Below are 18,378 nucleotides of genomic sequence, written 5' to 3'. Positions count from 1 at the left end.
CCATGAGTGGTGGTGATATTAAAATAAAGCCTTGAAAAGTACAAGATGAAACTAGAACATCTTGTTATGCTAGAAAGTAAGAAAGTGCAATAAATTGGGGGCGAAGGGAAAGCTCTTCCTTATGGGAGAATGCCAACTAACATAGAGGAATGATGGAGTTGGAAAATCATCACTTGATGCTAAAATGAGTGGGTGACATGAGGAGGAGGAGATTTTTACATAGTCTCAATTCCTCTCCCTAAAATTTACCAGTTAATTATAAAGGGAAACATAGTAACTTCATAGTGGAGAAACGTGGCAAACTCCACTTTAGTGACTCCACATTAATGATGTTCTCAAAGTTAACACCAATGTTGGGTAAACTAACATCCGTGCTTCCTGAGATGTCGTAGTGAGGGTAACATCATTTTATTGCTATTCCTTCCAAGAATACATAACCTGCATCATGAGAAAACAAAAGATAAAACCCAGATTCAGAGTTAGTCCACAAAATATCAGGTCTGTCCTCTTCAAAGATACCAAGAAAGAAAGACCATGGATTCCAGACTAAAGAGATGTGATTTCTAATGCGTTGTATGAAATTGAACTAGAAATTGGACTGGAAAAAAGTAGCCACAAAGAGCATTATTGGGGTAAATGGCCAAATTTGAATAGGGAATGCAAATTAGGAAATGGTATTTTTATCGTGGTTAATGGCTCTGATATTTACAATTATACTGTGGTTATATGCAGGAATGTCCTAGTTCTTAGGAAATGTACACTGAAATGTTTAGGAGTAGAGGAGCACGATATCTCCAACGTATTCTCAGCTGGTTCAGGAAAAATATGCACATATATGAAAACAGAAAGAATGCTAAAGCAAATTAAACAAAATGTAAACAATTAGTGAATTTTCATAATGAGCATATAGGGATTCTTTGTATTGTTCTTACAATTTTGGAATCGTGCCAAAATTTTGTACTACGTTAAAGGTACAGTACTTTTTTCGAGAAAACCGCCCAGGGTTCATACTGCACTCCAGCCTAGGCAACAGAGCGAGACCCTATCTCAAAAAAAAAAAAAATCTAGGCCGGGCATGGTGGCTCACTCCTGCAATCCCAGCACTTTGGGAGGCCAAGGAGGGCAGATCACCTGAAGTCAGGAGTTCGAGACCAGCCAGGCTAACATGGCGAAACCCTGTCTCTACTAAAAGTACAAAATTTTGCACCTATAGTCCCAGCTACTTGGGAGGCTGAGGCAGGAGGATCATTTGAGCCCAGGAAGTCAAGGCTGCAGTGAGCTGTGATAGTGCCACTGCACTCCAGCCTGGGCAAGAGAGTGAGACTCTGTCTCAAAAAAAAAAAACTGTGCCAAGATAAGTTTTTTGTAAAAAAAAACCCTTAGGAAAAAATTCTTTAATAGGGCTTCATTTAGGAGCCACTATGTACTTCCTAGACTAACAATAATAAGAAGTTTCATGCCACTCTTCAGGCTTCATAATGTAAGCCCGTGGAACACAAGGGGAGAGTATAATTTTTCCAAAACAGTGTAATCTGTGTTTATAGCTTTCTGCTGCTCTTGGTCCAAAGTCATAATATAGTGTATCAAGAGAGATGTATTGATCATATGCATTGTCCTTTATATGTATTATTTCTAACAACTGAACATTTAATGATATTTGGTCTGCAGATACTTTGAGGTTCTAATCTCTGGCAAGAACCATGAATGTAGCTCTTCTATGTTGCCAAATTCAGATCCTCTGCCTTAACAGCCAGGTGGGTTAAAATGATAACCTCTTAGGAAAAATTAAGGAACTTTTTGCAAGGTTGTAGATATTCCTCCATTCAAGGTACAGTACTTTTTTTGAGAAAACAGCCCAGGGTTCACTACTGCAAGATGTAAATTGCTGTCCTTAAGTTCTGTGCCATAAAATCTATGAGCGATAATTTTAGCTTGGCAGTCTAAAAAAAGATTTAAACTGATTGTTTACTGTAGCCATTAAAAAAAAAATCTCAGTAGACATAGAATGTCTACTTTTGATTACTGTGACATTCAGATGAGCCCTCCAAAATTTAACTGGAAAAAGCATGTAAGACTGCAAAATTATATAAGATATATAGAATTATTGGTTCTAAGTCATTTAAATACTTGGAAGCTGTCTTCCAAAGAATAGTTGATCTTAAGGCAATATTTCTGACAAAAATTATCAAGTCCGACTGCCTGATGAGGCTGCTCCTCAAAAGCAGCGGGAAAGCCAAGTTGGAAAGGGGAAAAGAGCAGCTCTAAGACAACGTCTAAACCCACTGTCTTCAGAGTCAGACACGTTCATCATCCTTACTCTCCCCCTTCATAAGATGTACAACTCTGGAAAATTGACTTAACCACTCTCAGTTTTACTTTTCTCTGGAGATTCCTATTTTCTCTGGGGATTATGTGATTATTTTAATAGTACCTACTTCATAGCATTATTTATTGGGATGAGATTCATCATATCTAACTAGAACAGGCATGAAAGAAGTGCCTAAAATCTATAGTTGCTATTGTTATTCTTTGGTCTCAGAAGCAGTGGGCTGTGTTCAGATACAAACTTTTAAGGAGGGCCACCCAAGTCATTGTTTTACATCCGGATTCTTGTCTGTCGGGAGCCCTTTCCCACTTCCCCTGCCTATCTGGTTATTACGCTACTTCCGTACAAACGTCAGTAGCCAGGAGTGTATACGAACAGTACCACTTAGCCCATTTTCATTGTATGTCCACAGAGACAAAAAGCTGAAGGAGTATCAATAAAAATTGAGCAATCTCATGCTATCTTCTGATAGTTTTCTTATAATAAAGGGAAGAAAAACAATATTGGCTTTAAAAATTCAAGAATGCTCAAGCTTACAATTTTTTGTGGAAGAAATGACAGAGACTTGAGAAGGAATTTTCAGAAATCTAATGGATCATAATTTTGGCAGAAAAGTTATTCAGGGTAGATAAGCTGGCATGGATCAAGAGTCCACCAGGTAGATTGGACCGTAAATTCTAGCAGTAGACAGTTTTCAAGTGCTTTATTCTACCTGAGCTATTTAATATGTATTTTATATGAGGAAATGTAATTTATGCCCAGTTGAAAAGGGGCTGGGGATCTAAAAGCTCTGGAGGTTTTCCTTAGGCTATAAAGCTGAGAAGACTCCTCCTTTCAGATGTCAGTGAGGATCTGGGTGGTCATGATATCACTGACCACTTTGATGCCACTGCTAACTCTAGCCCAGAATCCGCCACATTCCTTTTGAGAGAATAACAATTTGAAAATTCAACTCAAATTTAACGATATCCCTGATAGTCTTTTACATATTTTGTCTTATTTGTTGTTTCGCTGCCTGGCTAAGTTGTTTTTACTTTCAGGGGCATGCCCGAGCCCTATCCTAACAGAGTTGATAGATCTCTTGATAAACAAAGAGGCGTAAAGACATCAGAGATGCAGTTTTAGCACATTCTCGGTAGTCAGAGCTCTTGTTGAAATGAAAATCCCTTGCTCCGTCTCACTTTTCTTAAGCTCTGAACCCCACTGGTCCAAATGTGAATACAAAGAATCTCTAGGATAGTTAAGCCAAGCAGGGGTAAAATTCAGGGAGAACTAATCCAAACGCTGAGAGGGAGTGTGGCACTGGTGGGCATGCTGGGCATGATCAAGTTGGTGGTGTGGGCTCTCAGGGCAGAGCTATGGCACCTGTTCTCAGAGGTTTCCCATGTGCTGTCAGTACTTGCTGGTTTGTTTGTAAATAAACTTGATAGGAACCTTTCCATTCAAATTTATAATGCTGTCTTTAAGGTGATGTTCCTTAAATTTTTGGCTAACAACTCCTTGGCAAATCTCACAAAAGCTGTGGATTCTCTCTTCTCAGAAGAATGCATGTAGGCCTACATATACCCAAACAGTTTACATAATTTCAAGGAATTAGCACGAAGCGCTTTCACCATGGTTCATGGAAGCTACTCTTAATGCTCTACAACTGGCCACAAGATGGTGGTGGTGATGACTACCATTTATTTAGCTTGTACTATTAGTCAGGCACTCTTCATTCTTCATATCCAAAATGAACTCTGGATAGCCCCTTCCAAACCTGTTCTTCCCCCATCCTTACTCATCTCAGGTAACACCCACTCCATCTCTTTAGTTGCTCAGTTATGCTGAGTCCTTATCACTACTACTGTTGTCACCTTCCTCCTAGCCAGTCATCTCTTGCATTATTACCTTATTTATTATTGCGAGTGATCTCCCTACTTCTACCCTTTCTATTCTCAATACAGTAGCCAGAGTCATTGCTCCTATTAAAATGAAAGTCATATCACACTACTATCCTACTCAGAACTCTGCAGAGTCTTCCCATTTCATTCACAGTAAAAGATGATGGCCAGGGCCTCTGTGCTGCACAGCCGCAAGGGCAACTGTTCACATAGATGACAATATGTTGTGCAGTAGATGATGTACACTACGGCTCCAGTAAAGGTCCATAAGCCCTGTACAATCTGCCCCACCCCCCTAATTCAGTTACTTCTGTGACCTCGACTCTCCTACTGCTTCTCCCTCATTCACTCTGTTCTAGCCACTTGATCTCCTTTATGACCTTCAAATACACCAGGCCTGCACTGCCTCAGGATCTTTGTACTGGATGTTACTTCTGCTTGGAACAGTCTTTCCTCAAATATGTGCTCAGCTCATGTTCTTGCCCTTTTAAAGTCATTGCTCAAAAGTCACCTCGCTGAGGCCTATACTAACCATCCTTATTTAAACACAGTCCTCATCTCTACCCTAGACCTTTGTATCTATGCTACTTTTTCCATAGTAATCATGACCTTCCAACTCATTAATAATATCTAATTTACTTATTTTTTTTTCCTGAATGGAATGCAAGCTTCACTAGGATCCTCACTGGAATGCAAGCTTCACTAGGTTGGAGATTTTTGTCTGTTTTTTCAATGCTGTGTGTGCAGTGCCTAGAAGAGAGGCTGATGCATAATAAGAGCTCAGATATCTGTTGAATAAAATGAACAAACCTTAGGAAGATATATTCTTTTAAAACACAGATTTAGATTCAGAGAGATTAAACATCTTGCTCAAAGTCACACAATTGATAAAAGGTATAGCTAAGATTTTTGGACTTTCTGACACCAAAGATGTGCTTATCTACTGCATCAGTCTTCCTTTCTAAAGATAAAAATATTCCTTTCTAAGGATATGCAAAATCAGAGATCAAAATGTAGTCCAGAAGTAGGAGTCTTATTCTGTAGATTATAATGCGTTGCTAAGAGAAATGAAAGAAAACTGATTATTGGAGATACACCATATTTATGGGTTGGAAAACGCAATATTTAAAAAATGTCAGTTCTCCTAAGTTGAACTATGGATGCAAAATTTTCCAAATAAAAATCCAAGCAGACTTTTTTGTAGAGATTGGCAAACTGACTGTAAAATTCCTATGCAAATATAAAGGAACTCAAATAGCCCCATCTAATTCTTTATTCATTATTATTATTATTATCTTGAGACAGGGTTTCACTCTGTTGCCCAGGCTGGAGTGCAGTAGCACAGTCATGGTTCATGGTTCACTGCAGCCTTGACCTCCTGGGCTCAAGCGATCCTCCTGGCTCAGCCTCCTGAGTAACTGGAACTACATGCCTGGCTATTTTTATTTTTTATTTTTATTTTTTTTCTAGGGAAGAGGTCTGGCTGTGTTGCCTGGGTTTGTCTCAAACTCCTGGCCTCAAGCTATCCTTCTACCTCGGCCTTTCCAAGTGCTGAGATTTCATGCATGAGTCACCACACCTGACCTAAAACTAAGGGTGCTTTTGGAAAAAGGAAAAAAAAAAAACAAAGGAAATTTTGGTGGTAAGCAATTTAAGAGGAAGCCAGTAGCTCCATTAGAGCAACAAGCTTAACTCTGTCGTATGTGGACAACTAAGAAGGGTCCTCCTGGGGTCAGAACAAACTTTAAACACTGTCCTCAAAAGCTACTCCTGCAAATGGGCCTGAATTTATTGGACTAGACCATGGAGTAATTTATGCTCCAGAGCATTATTGAAAACAAAATAGCGACCAGCCAGCAATTAGTGGGTCCTAACAGCTGGGTGTAATACCAGCAAGAGGCAGACAGCCTAACAGATCAGGGAAAGAAAGTGCAAAGAGAGCCCTGCTAGAACCATTGTTCGAATGCCCAAGGTTCTGCTCTCTGAGGAGCAACATTGGAGGCTTCACACTGCAGATAAAATACTTTACTAAAATAGTCAAGCCAAGTTATTAAATAAAGAAAAAATAACTATAAAAACAGGCTAGGTGCAGTGGCTCATGACGGTAATCCCAGCACTTTGGGAGGCCATGGGAGGCAGATCACGAGAGGCCAGCAGTTTGAGAGCAGCCTGGCCAACATGGCGAAACCCTGTCTCTACTAAAAATACAAAAATTACCCAGGCATGGTGGTGTGCACCTGTAATTCCTGCTACTGAGAAGGCTGAGGCGCAAGAATCGCTTGAACCCAGGAGGCGGAGGTTGCAGTGAGCTGAGTTTGTGCCACTGTACTTCAGTGTGGGTGACAGAGTGAGACTCTGTCTCAAAAAAACAAAACAAAACAAAAAACACTGAAACAAAACACCAGGGTTGGGGATGGAAGTAGGGGGTTGGAATCAGATTATAACTCGAATTCACTGGGAAAAAAAAAAAAAAAAAAAAACAGAAAAACAGTAAGTAGGAAGGCTAATATAACAAACTACAAGTATGTATTTCCCCTTCTATCTTGTCTCAGCTTCTTTGAAAGACAAAATTATATATAGTAATATTAGGTTTTCAACATATGTAGTTGTACTGTATGTTACAATAATAGCACAAAAGGGGAAGAGAATATAGATATATAGAATTAATGTTTCTATATATAACCAGAAGTTGGTATAAACCCAAAGCTGTTATGATAAGTTAATATTGTATGGCAAGTTGCAGAGCAACCACTAAGAAAATAAGTAAAAAAAAAAAGTAAAATGAGAAAGTATTAAAGGAATTAAAATGTTGCACTAGAAAATATTCAGTTAACAAAAAAAGGATAAAGAAAGACTAGACTAGAGGAACAAAAAAGATATGAGATATATAGAAAACAAAAAAGTAAAATTGCAGATATTATGTTAATAACAATAAATGTGAATGGATTAAACATTTTAATCAAAAGGCAGAGATTGTCAGACTGGGGGAGATCTCACTATGTGCTGTTTACAAAAGATACACTATCAAAGGTACAAATAGATTAAAGGGAAAAATGATTAAAAAGATAAACTGTGGAAACAGCAACCACAAGAAAGCTGGAGTGATTATGCTAATATCAGACAAAACAGATATTTTTAAATGCTAGTAGAGATTTAAAAGGACACTTCCTAATGATAAAAAAAGGCCAATCCATGAAGATTGGTTATAAATATATATCATTATCCCTCATTATCTGCAGGGAATTGGTTCCAGGACACCCTACGGATAAAAAAAAACTTCAGATGTTCAAGTTTGTTATATTAAATGGGATAATATTTGCATGTAACTTATATGCATCCCCCTGTATACTTTGTCATCTCTGTATTACTTCTGATACTTAATACAGTGTAAATGGTATATAAATAGTTGTTAAACGGTTTTTTCTTTGCATTATTTTCTATGGTTGTATTGTTACATTTCTGAATATTTTTGACCCATGGTTGGTTGAATCAGTGGATGCAGAACCCACAGAGATCAAGGGCCTAACAATATAGAGCCTAACGTGGATGTACCTAACAACATAGATCCAAAATACATAAAGCAAAAACTGAAAGAAATGGAGGAAGAAATAGACAATTCAGCAATAATATCCCATTCTCAATAATGCAAAAAGATTCAGCAAGGAAACAGAAGACCCAAACAACACAATAAACCACCTAGGCATAATAGACATCTATAGAACTCTAAATAGTAATTGCAGGATATATATACAGATGCAACATTCTCTAGGGTAGATCATATGCCAGCCCATTTTTAAAGAAATTAATTTTAAAACATTAAAATCATAAAAATTATGTTTCCTCTCCACAATGGAATGAGAAAAGAAATCAATAACAAAAAGAAATTTGGGATATTCACAACCATAGGAAACAATGTACTCCTAAATATCCAATATGTCAAAGATGAAATAAGAGAAATAAAAAAATACTTTTTGACAGCCTGGGCAACAAAGTGTGAGACCCCGTCTCCACAAAAAAATAATTTTAGCCAGGCATGGTGGCACACACCTGTAATCCTAGCTACTCAGGAAAATCTCTTGAGCTCAGAAGTTAGAAGCTGCAGTAAGCTATGATCACACCACTGCACTGCAGCCTGGGTGTCAGAGTGAGACCTTGTCTCTAGATTTAAAAAAAGAAAATTGTTTCAATAAGAGACAATGAAGACACTACATACTAAAACTTACAGAATGAAGCTAAAATTAAAAAAGCAAGAAACATTTGAAATCAGTAACCCAGTCTTCCACCTTAAGATACATAAAAAGAAGCAAACTCAACCAAAAGCAACCAGAAAGGAGGGACATAACAAAGATTAGAAATTAGTCAAATATGGAATATGAAAACAAGAGAAAATCAATGAAACCAAAAGATTATTCTTTTGAGATGATCAACAAATTGACAAACCTTGGGTAGACTGACCAGGAAAAAAGAAGACTCAAATTGGCAAAATCAAGAATGAAAGAAAGGACATTACTATTGACCTTACAGAATTAGAAAGGATCATCATGAACAACTGTATACCAACATACAGTTTTGTTATTTATGTTATTTCATGTTGGATAACTTATATGAAATAAAGACATTCCAGGAAAGACACAAACTACTAGAACTTACTCAAGAAATACAACTTCTGAATAGACAAGTAAAGAAATTGAACTATTGCTACTGTTACCACCACCACCACCACTACCCACAGGCCTAGTACGGTGGCTCATGCCTGCAATCCCAGCACTTGGGGAGGCTGAGGCAGCTGGATCACTTGAGGTCAGGAGTTCAAGAACAGCCTGGCTAACATGGTGAAACCTCCTGTCTACTAAAAATACAAAAATTAACTGGGCCTGGTGATGGGCGCCTGTAAGCCCAGCTACTTGGGATGCTGAGGCAGGAGAATCACTTGAACCCGGGAGGCGGAGGTTTCAGGGAGCTGAGATCATGCCACTGCACTCCAGTCTGGGTGACAGAGGGAGACTTTCTCTCAAACAAAACAAAATGAAACAAAAAACAAACAAAACTACACACAAAGAAAAGCCCAGCCCCAGATGGCTTCACTAGTAAATGTTACCAAACATTTAAAGAAGAATTACCAGTTCTTCACAAACTCTTCCAAAACATAGAGGAGAAAGAAACACTAACTTATCTTATGAGGCCAGTATTATGCCAATACCAACTGCAGATAAAAACATCACAAGAATAACGGGGGAACCTGTCCCCAATATTTCAATGTAGGCTCTTTCTATTTTCCATAAGTGTTGACTGGCTGAGAAATAAAGAGAAAGAGAACAAAGAGAGGAATTTTACAGCTGGGCCTCTGGGGGTGACATCACATATCGGTAGGACCGTGATGCCCACCTGAGCCTTAAAGCCAGCAAGTTTTAAGGATTTCAAAAGGGGAGGGGGTGTTAGAAAAGGGAGTAGGTCACAAAGATCACATGCTTCAAAGGGCAAAAAGGAGAACAAAGATCACATGCTTTTGAGGAAACAGGACAAGGGCAAACTCAGAACTACTGATAAGGGTCTGTGTTCAGCTGTGCATGTATTGTCTTGATAAACATCTTAAACAAAAGAAAACAGGGTTTGAGAGCAGAGAACCGGTCTGACCACAAATTTACCAGGGTGGAGTTTCCCAGTCCTAGTATGCCTGAGGGTACTGCAGGAGACCAGGGCGTATTTCAGTCCTTATCTCAACTGCATAAGACAGACACTCCCAGAGTGGCCATTTATAGACCTCACCCCAGGAATGCATTCCTTCCCCAGGGTATTAATTACTAATATTCCTTGCTAGGAAAAGAATTTAGCGATATTGTCCCTACTTGCACGTCCGTTTGTAGGCTCTCTGCAAGAAGAAAAATATGGCTCTATTTTGCCCAACCCTGCAGGCAGTCAGACCTTATAGTTATCTTCCCTTGTTCCTTGAAAATCACTGTTATTCTGTTCTTTTTCAAGGTGCACTGATTTCATATTGTTCAAACACACGTTTTACAATCAATTTGTACAGTTAATACAAATATCATAGTGGTCCTGAGGTGATGTACATCCTCATCTTACAAAGATAACAGGATCAAGAGATTAAGACACGTATAAGAAATTATAAGAGTATTATTTGGAAACTGATAAATGTCCAGATAAATGTCCATGAAATCTTCACAATTTATGTTCAGAGATTGAAGTAAAAACAGGTGTAAGAAATTATAAAAGTATTATTTGGGAACTGATATATGTCCATATTAAAATGAAATCTTCACAGTTTATGTTCCTCTGCCACGGCTCCAGCTGGTCCCTCCATTCGGGGTCCCTGATTTCTCGCAACATCTCTCCCTTTCTTTTTATATAAATGTGCCATGGTGCTGAAGGCTTGTTCGTTTTCTTGGTTTTGACGCAGGATTCTTTGACTGGTCCAGCACACTAAAAACAAGCCGATTAAACAGAGAAACATAATTCCAAAATTTACTACAGTGGAGCTCCCCATAGACTTAATCCAAGTCGTGGGGTTTAGTCCAGAAAGACTTTGTGCCACCTGATCTAACGCCTCAGCTCCAGGCACAATGGATAAATGAGCTTGAGAGCCTTCAAAAATTTGTTTCTTTAATTTAGTTATGTCCAAGGATAAATTATCTTCCCTACCCAGAAGGTGTCCTTTGACCATTTCCCATTAATGATCAGTCTTGTTGTAGGAATATGGTGTGATACAGAAATCAGAAGTATTCCAATCGCACTGCATTTGCATGCGATGTTTGAGACTCATTAGCCGATCCCCAAGCCAAATAACAGACTGTCTTAAATCATTAATTTGATTAGCCAATTTTTGATCAATGCCTTGTTGAGAATTCCACATTTGGGTGGAATTGGCTTGCCAATCATTAACAAAATGAGCTGTTTGAATAGATTGATGTAATGCCATTCTGGCAGTGGTGGCCAGTGTAATGACTGTAATTAGGCCCATGATCACAGTGATTAAAGTGAAAACAAATCTCTTAGATCTTTTGAGAATTCGTTGTAACACTTCATTAATTAAATGTACTGAGGGGGAAGATTCCCAGGTCTGGGTAAAGTTACCGATATCCAGATTCCTTCTTGAACTCGAACCAACATTGTACTTTTCCTGGAGTCAAAACGGGAGTTAATACAAGTGTATAAATGACAGGTAATGCATTGGACAGTTTGATTGTTTGTCCAAATTTTGATATTTCCCACTAATAGCATGTAAGGAGGCTTAACACAACTCTATATAGGAAGAGTCAGGTTGGAGGTAAACAAAGCATAATGTTTGAATGTACATTGATAGGGAGAGGAGCGGCGGTGGCAATGCCTGATGTTCTCTGCCGTAAAGAAGCAATCCAAGGTGCCTGGGGATGCCAAAGAAGTAGAGGGGCATACCTGGGTTGAGAAGAATTATCATAATGCCAATTGAAGTCCCATAAAGGGGTATTGGCATCAAAAAGAGGAAAAGGATTCAAAGGGGATTTATCTTGGTGGTCAGAATCACGGATGTGAGGGGTGGTAGTGGGGACAACAGACAGAAAAGTTTCCCCTTCCCATACTCGCAGTCCGGACATGGCAATAGCCAATTTCCAAAGGTCTGGGTGTTCTGGGCTCAGAATGGGGAATATCATACAAGGCCTCTGGGGGTAATGCCCTTATCTTCCCATTTTAAGGGAAAGAACGAGCGGAACCTTCTATGCAAAATAGGATGATGATCCTTGTCCTCCCAGTAAGAAATAAAATAAGTAGCCTCCAGACATTCCCTTCTGCCAGAGGAGCAATTGTTTTTTGAATAGCCCTTTGGTGCCCAGTCTATTATTAAACCACGAGTCATTTTTTAATACTACTGCATGTAAGTTAACACAGTCTTCCCAAATTAAAGTTTTAGATGGGCGCTCAAAATTTTTAGGACATGGTTTTCCTACAGGTTTTTTGTTTTTTGTTTTTTTGTTGTTGAGATGGAGTCTCACTCTGTCGCCCAGGCTGGAGTGCAGTGGCTCACTGCAAGCTCCACCTCCCAGGTTCACACCATTCTCCTGCCTCAGCCTCCCAAGTAACTGGGACTACAGGCACCTGCCACCATGTCTGGCTAATTTTGTTTTGTATTTTTAGTAGAGACGGGGTTTCACCATGTTAGCCAGGATGGTCTCGATCTCCTGACCTGGTGACCCGCCCGCCTCGGCCTCACAAAGTGCTGGGATTACAGGTGTGAGCCACCGCGCCCAGCCTTCCTACAAGTTTATATTGAAAGTATGGTGTATCAACTACAGACCATTATCTCTCTCTCTCTCTCTTTTTTTTTTTTTTTTTTGAGACTGAGTCTCTCTCTGTGGCCCAGGCTGGAGTGCAGTGCAGTGATCTTGGCCAACTGCAACCTCTGCCTCCCGGTTCAAGCAATTTTCCTGCCTCAGCCTCCCGAGTAGCTGGGATTACAAGTGTGCACCACCACGCCTGGCTAATTTTGTATTTTTAGTAGAGACAGGGTTTCACCGTGTTGGCCAGGCTAGTCTCAAACCCATGACGTCAAGTGATCCGCCTGCCTCAGCCTCCCAAAGTGCTGGGATTACAGGCATGAGACACCATGGCAGGCCCAGATCATTATCTCTTATGAATATAAATGCAAAATTCTCAACAACTTTCTATCAAACCAAATCCAGTAACAAATAAAGATAATTACATGCCATGGCCAAGTGGAATCTATCACAGTAGTGCAAGATTGGTTTACCAACCAAAAGTCAATCAGTTTAATATATCATATCAGCAGGATAAAGAACACAAAGCATATGATCCTCCCAACAGATGTAGAAAAACAGTATTTGCCAAAATTCAACTCCTTCATAATAACGCTCAACAAAGTAGGAATGGATGTGAACTTCTTAACCTGATAAAGGCATCTATGGAAAAACCAAGAGCCAACATAATGCTTAATGGTTAAAGACTGAATGCTTTCCCCCTAATATCAGGAACATGGACAGAATATCCACTTTCCCACTTTATTCAACATTGTAGGCAAGAAAAGGAACAAAAGGCCTTCAGATTGGAAAGGAAGAAGAAAAATTCTTATCTAAAGATGACATCTTATAAATAGAAAGTCCTAAGGAATCTACTCAGAAACTACTCGAACTAATATATAAGTTCAGCAGAATTGCAGTATGTAAGATCAACATACAAAAATCAAATATATTTCTATACATTTGGAATAAACAGTCTGAAAATGAAGTTAAAACCATTTAGGATCAACAGGAATAAAACATTTGGGAATAAATTTAACAAAAGAAGTACAAAAATGTATGCTCTGAAAACTACAAAACATTGCTGAAAGAATGAAAGAAGACCTAAATAAATGGAAAGCCATCCCCCATGTTCGTGGATTCAAGGCAGCTATGCTCACCACTGCGTCATCCATGCATTCCCAAGTTCATAGAGTTTGCTGTACAACTTACAAAGTATACAACCCATAACTGCCCCCTCAAAATTAAATAACTTATTTTATGATGTCAAGTCTTTACCTTGGGCTGTCAAGTCAATCCATCCCAAAAGTAGGAAGTAGGTCACTTGATATTTTAGGTATGTCTCCTTAGATTTATAGTTACTTTTTCGCAATCTCCCAGTAAATGGAAAATAAAGCACTTTGTCCCAAGTAACAATAATTCATAAGTAGTTATTATTCCTGCTTTATAAAGAACTGAAGCTCAGAGAGACTTAATTTGCTTAAGGAAGGACAGCTGTGGAGCCATTGTCTAGTTCAGGTCCATCAGTTACAAAGCCCTGTTTGTTTTGACTATGCCATGTTGCATTTGAAACAGGAGTACATTAGATTTTTTAAATAGTAGACTGGCCTCTTAAGTTTCAGAGTGGTTTTGTTCAGAGACCCTGTTTATAATATATTCCAGTATTAAGAATTTGTGTTCAATTGTTAATACCATAAATATCTATTTTGTGCTTACTGCATGCAGGCACTATGATGAGTAAATAGTAATGAATATATTAATCCTTACTTTAGCAGAGAAAGTAAGTATGCAAATAAACAATTGCAGTATAGCAAGATAACTGCAGTGCTGGAAGTCTTAAATAAGAACAGTGCTAACATAGAAGAAAGTAATCAGCTCTACTGGAGTGGCCATAGAAGAAGAGATGATTGAATTGGACATTCAAGGCTATGTAGGAGTTTGTCACTTGATATATGCGTGCTTCTTTCTGTGTCATGACTAACTATGGAAAGCATTTATGCATAAACATAAGTATTGAGTTTTTAAGTAAAATAAGGTAGGAAAAAAGTTCATTATTAGTTTGCAGGAATCCTGTGTTCCTTTACACCTTTTTAATAATTAGCTTTGTGTTCAGGTATAATTAAAACTCCTTGGCAAAATACAGAAGCCTGAGAAGGGAAATGCTTTTTGCTGTCGTGTGGTTTGTAAAATGCATTGCAAAACAACTAGCTATTAGAGTTCTTTAATTCTGTTGTATCTGCTTTTTGGAATTTAAAGTTAAATGGACAAAGTAAAAGAAAAATTTGTGAGTTCATGAACAATTTCATTCTTTTATCAAATTGTGGTAAACTCAAGTGAATATACTTGGGATATACGCTTTTCAAATTTTTCAGGAGAAAAAGCTTTAAATTGCATTTGTGACTTTTCTAGTTGTCAGTGGTTTCTCACACGCAAATCCTGTGTGTTAATGTGTCAGTGGTTTTTTTTGTTGTTGTGTTTTTTGGGGTTTTTTTGTTTTTTTTTTTGAGACAGAGTCTCACTCTTTCGCCCAGGCTGGAGTGCGGTGGCGCGATCTCCGCTCACTGCAACCTCCGCCTCCCAGGTTCATGCCATTCTCCTGCCTCAGCCTCTCAAGTAGCTGGGACTACAGGCAACTGCCACCACGCCCGATTAATTTTTGTATTTTTAGTAGAGATGGGGTTTCACCGTGTTAGCCAGGATGGTCTCGATCTCCTGACCTCGTGATCCGCCTGCCTCGGCCTCCCAAAGTGCTGAGATTACAGGCGTGAGCCACTGCGCCCGGCTCAGTGTTTCTGATGTAACTACAATTTAAAGCTTTTTTGCAACACTTATTTGGTAAAAAGTTTATTCTATAGGATTTTGAGCAGTTTCTAACATTAATTTGTATAGTTGTTACCTAAAATAATGAATGATAAATAAGTTCTGCGTTTATGAAGAAATATCTTATTAGAGCCATGTATCAACATAACTATTTTGGTTTTTTAAAAAATTAACCAGCTCCCCTATTTATGTCTTAATGTAGCCTTTTGGTCACCTATTTCATTATCCCCCTTGGGATAAATAGAGAAAATTGACAGGGAAATGGTAATCTTCTACTTTCAGAATCTTTGATTTGACCAAGTTGTAATACTTATACTATTGGGCTAAATAAAAGGGTGTCTATTACCTAATATAGATTTTTGGAAGTGCATGTAGACAATTCTGGAAAATAGGGTATCTGTTTACAGGTGACTGGCAATTATTACAAATGAAAGGATGGGACTTTGTGTTTTGTTTTGGTTTTGGTTATTGCAGTGGCTGATGTTTTGGTACTCCAGAGTAGGTTAAGTATGCATTATATGGTTATGGCAGAGGTTTCTGATATGCTGTATTTGAGAAAACATATTTAAATATATGCAGATTTTAGTAATAGTTTTAATGGCAATACTCTTTGCAAACTCATTTGATTATATTTAAGGTAATCATTATTTTGCGAAACTGTATTGCTATCTGAATCTAGAACTCTATCTACATGATACTGTATGCTAAATTGTATATAGCAATATATTAAAATCAGTGCCTTATGGTGAATCCAAAGTGATTAAAAGGAAACACTGCTTTTCATTTATGAATGCATGTTTAAGAAAGAAAAATGTATTTCATTTTTAGATTATATAAATGGTGGTGAACTTTTTACTCATCTTTCTCAAAGAGAGCGTTTCACAGAGCATGAGGTGCAGATTTATGTTGGAGAGATTGTGCTTGCCCTCGAACATCTCCACAAGGTAAGACTCTTCATTTTTCAGGTTTCTTTTCTGAAGTCTGTTAACTAAGGTAATAATGGAGCTGGAAGAGCTAATGTTTTTACATGTTATTGTCTTAGTGGAGATTATGAAAGCATACTTATAGAACATTACCAATTTTCTCAATTTCATAATTCCGTTTGAAAAAATCTACTTTCCAATTGTACTTGCTATGATAGAGATTAAAAAGAACCTAAGCAGGTTTTGGCTTTTATCCTGAAAAATCCTAATGCTTATTTGTTACAAAGTATCATTATAATAAAAGCTTTTAATTGTTAAAATAACCAATAAAATGAAACCATCAGTCATAATATGTATTTCCTTCATTGTAATTTACTGCATTGCAGACTCTGCCTGTACATCTTCAGGGTGTATCCTGATGAGGTTGGAGAGTAAGAGTTATTTCCCACTCGCACTCTGGCTTTCTTTTCCATTTGTTTTGTCCCTGACACCGTCTCTTGCTCCCACTCCCTCTCTCCTCCATTGTCCCCAGGTAGGATGAACTCTTACTAAAAAACTTTAAATGGAATTCATGTCTGTGACCCTATGCAAACTGTAACAATCAGTTTAAACTGTAAGAAATGTTATTGCAGATAACCATTAATCTTGAGCCAAGAAATTTTCACTCGGTTTTTTGTTTTACTTAATGAGGAAACATTGTAGAAGCAGTCATTATGTAGACTGGGCTTGTGTTTTTCCTCAGAGACAGAAAGTACTCAAGTAATTTTTAAATTAGGACAATTCAGGTACATCATGAAGCCACCCTTCCTTGTCCTGTTATATTCAGGTCCTACACTAGTTTAAGATAGAGATTGAAATGCTGATTATGGAGCATAGAAAAGAAAGGAGAGAATTGAAGGGAAAAGGAAGGATGAAGGATGACATTTCTAAAGGGGCAGGCAGCAAGGTGGAGGTAACAGGTGGGTGAGGCCGTGAGAATAAATTATGGTAAGATGTAAGAAAAAAAGAGATCAGGAAAAGGGCAGATCCAGCCCAGAGGAGAAACCAGACCTGCCAGGTGAAGGGAGATGGTTCAAGGGTAGGAATCTTAGGGAGACTGAATGAAAAACGTGTGAGAACAAGCAGGGAAAGAAACCTTTGGTAATGGGGGGGTTGAGGGGCAGGGCTGCAGCACAATGGAGAGGAAGGGGAACGAGGTGCAGTCAAGTAGGCACTCAAACTGAGGTAGCAGAACAGACACTTGGACTTCTTTTCATGGAATTATTGATATGGTAACAAGCTTTAAGATGATTTTTGTGGGATATAAGATAGTTAAGACATTTTCATACAAGAAACTATTGGACCCAAGAATATGCTGCAAAGAAAGACCTTTGAAATTTATGATTTAGGGCAATTAGTTTATAATATAAAAATGATGGTAGAAATCATCATAAATATGAGTAAGAAACAAAATGAATAGCTCCAGTGAGTAAGCTAGGAAGTCCAGTGTAGTGGTGCAATCTTGGCTCACTGCAGCCTCCACCTTCCCAGGCTCAGGTGATCCTCTCGTGTCAATCTCCCGAGTAGCTGGGACCACAGGAACGTGCCACCACACCTGGCTAAGTTTTGTATTTTTTATAGAGATGAGGTTTTGCCATATTGCCTAGGTTGGTGTTGAACTAGACTCAAGCAATCTGCCCGCCTCAGCCTCCCAAATTACAGGCATGAGCCACTGTGCTTGTCCGAAAATCCGGTTTTTAATTTATGTGAAACTTGCTGATTGTCAAACACAGAAGTAAATAAAACAATGAATGTTGGATATAACTGCAATTGATATGGAATGAGAGTAATATAGTAAATGAACTCTTGGTTAACCTTCTCTTAATCTTACTACCCTAAAAAGATACAGATAAATATAACGCAAAGCCAGCAATGTTAATCTTGATAAAGCTACTAACATTGAGTTTCACAGGAAGAGGCAAAAATGGATGTTTACTTGCAAGTGATGAGGTGACGCAGATAGTAAATTATTTGTTTCTAAAATCTTTTCTAAAGAGGTTGTTTTTTAGGAAAAAGCATCTCCTGGTTGTTAGATGCATATAATGCTCCAAGTCAATGTCTGTTCAATATAAGCTCTAGACATTTTCCTTCCTGTCTGTCTTGTAGAACACTGGGGCTCTTAAAGGAAAATTGCCTAGTAC

General features: G+C 38.3%; 1 protein-coding gene across 14 annotated transcripts in view; it reads left to right on the top strand.

Annotated features, from left to right (window-relative positions):
* RPS6KA5 (ribosomal protein S6 kinase A5) overlaps positions 1 to 18,378 on the top strand; it is a 212,781-nt gene that overhangs the window by 96,988 nt on the left and 97,415 nt on the right. For all 14 annotated transcript variants that reach the window (NM_001322232.2, NM_001322228.2, NM_001322236.2 and 11 more), the window contains one exon: positions 16,104 to 16,219. In NM_001322232.2, coding sequence (NP_001309161.1) covers positions 16,104 to 16,219 — 116 coding nt within the window. The remainder of the gene's footprint in view (positions 1 to 16,103; positions 16,220 to 18,378) is intronic.

Source organism: Homo sapiens, chromosome 14, assembly GCF_000001405.40.
Source record: "Homo sapiens chromosome 14, GRCh38.p14 Primary Assembly".
Lineage (NCBI taxonomy): Eukaryota > Metazoa > Chordata > Mammalia > Primates > Hominidae > Homo > Homo sapiens.
Note: the sequence above shows the minus strand (reverse complement) of the source record. Positions and strands in the feature narration are given on the sequence as shown.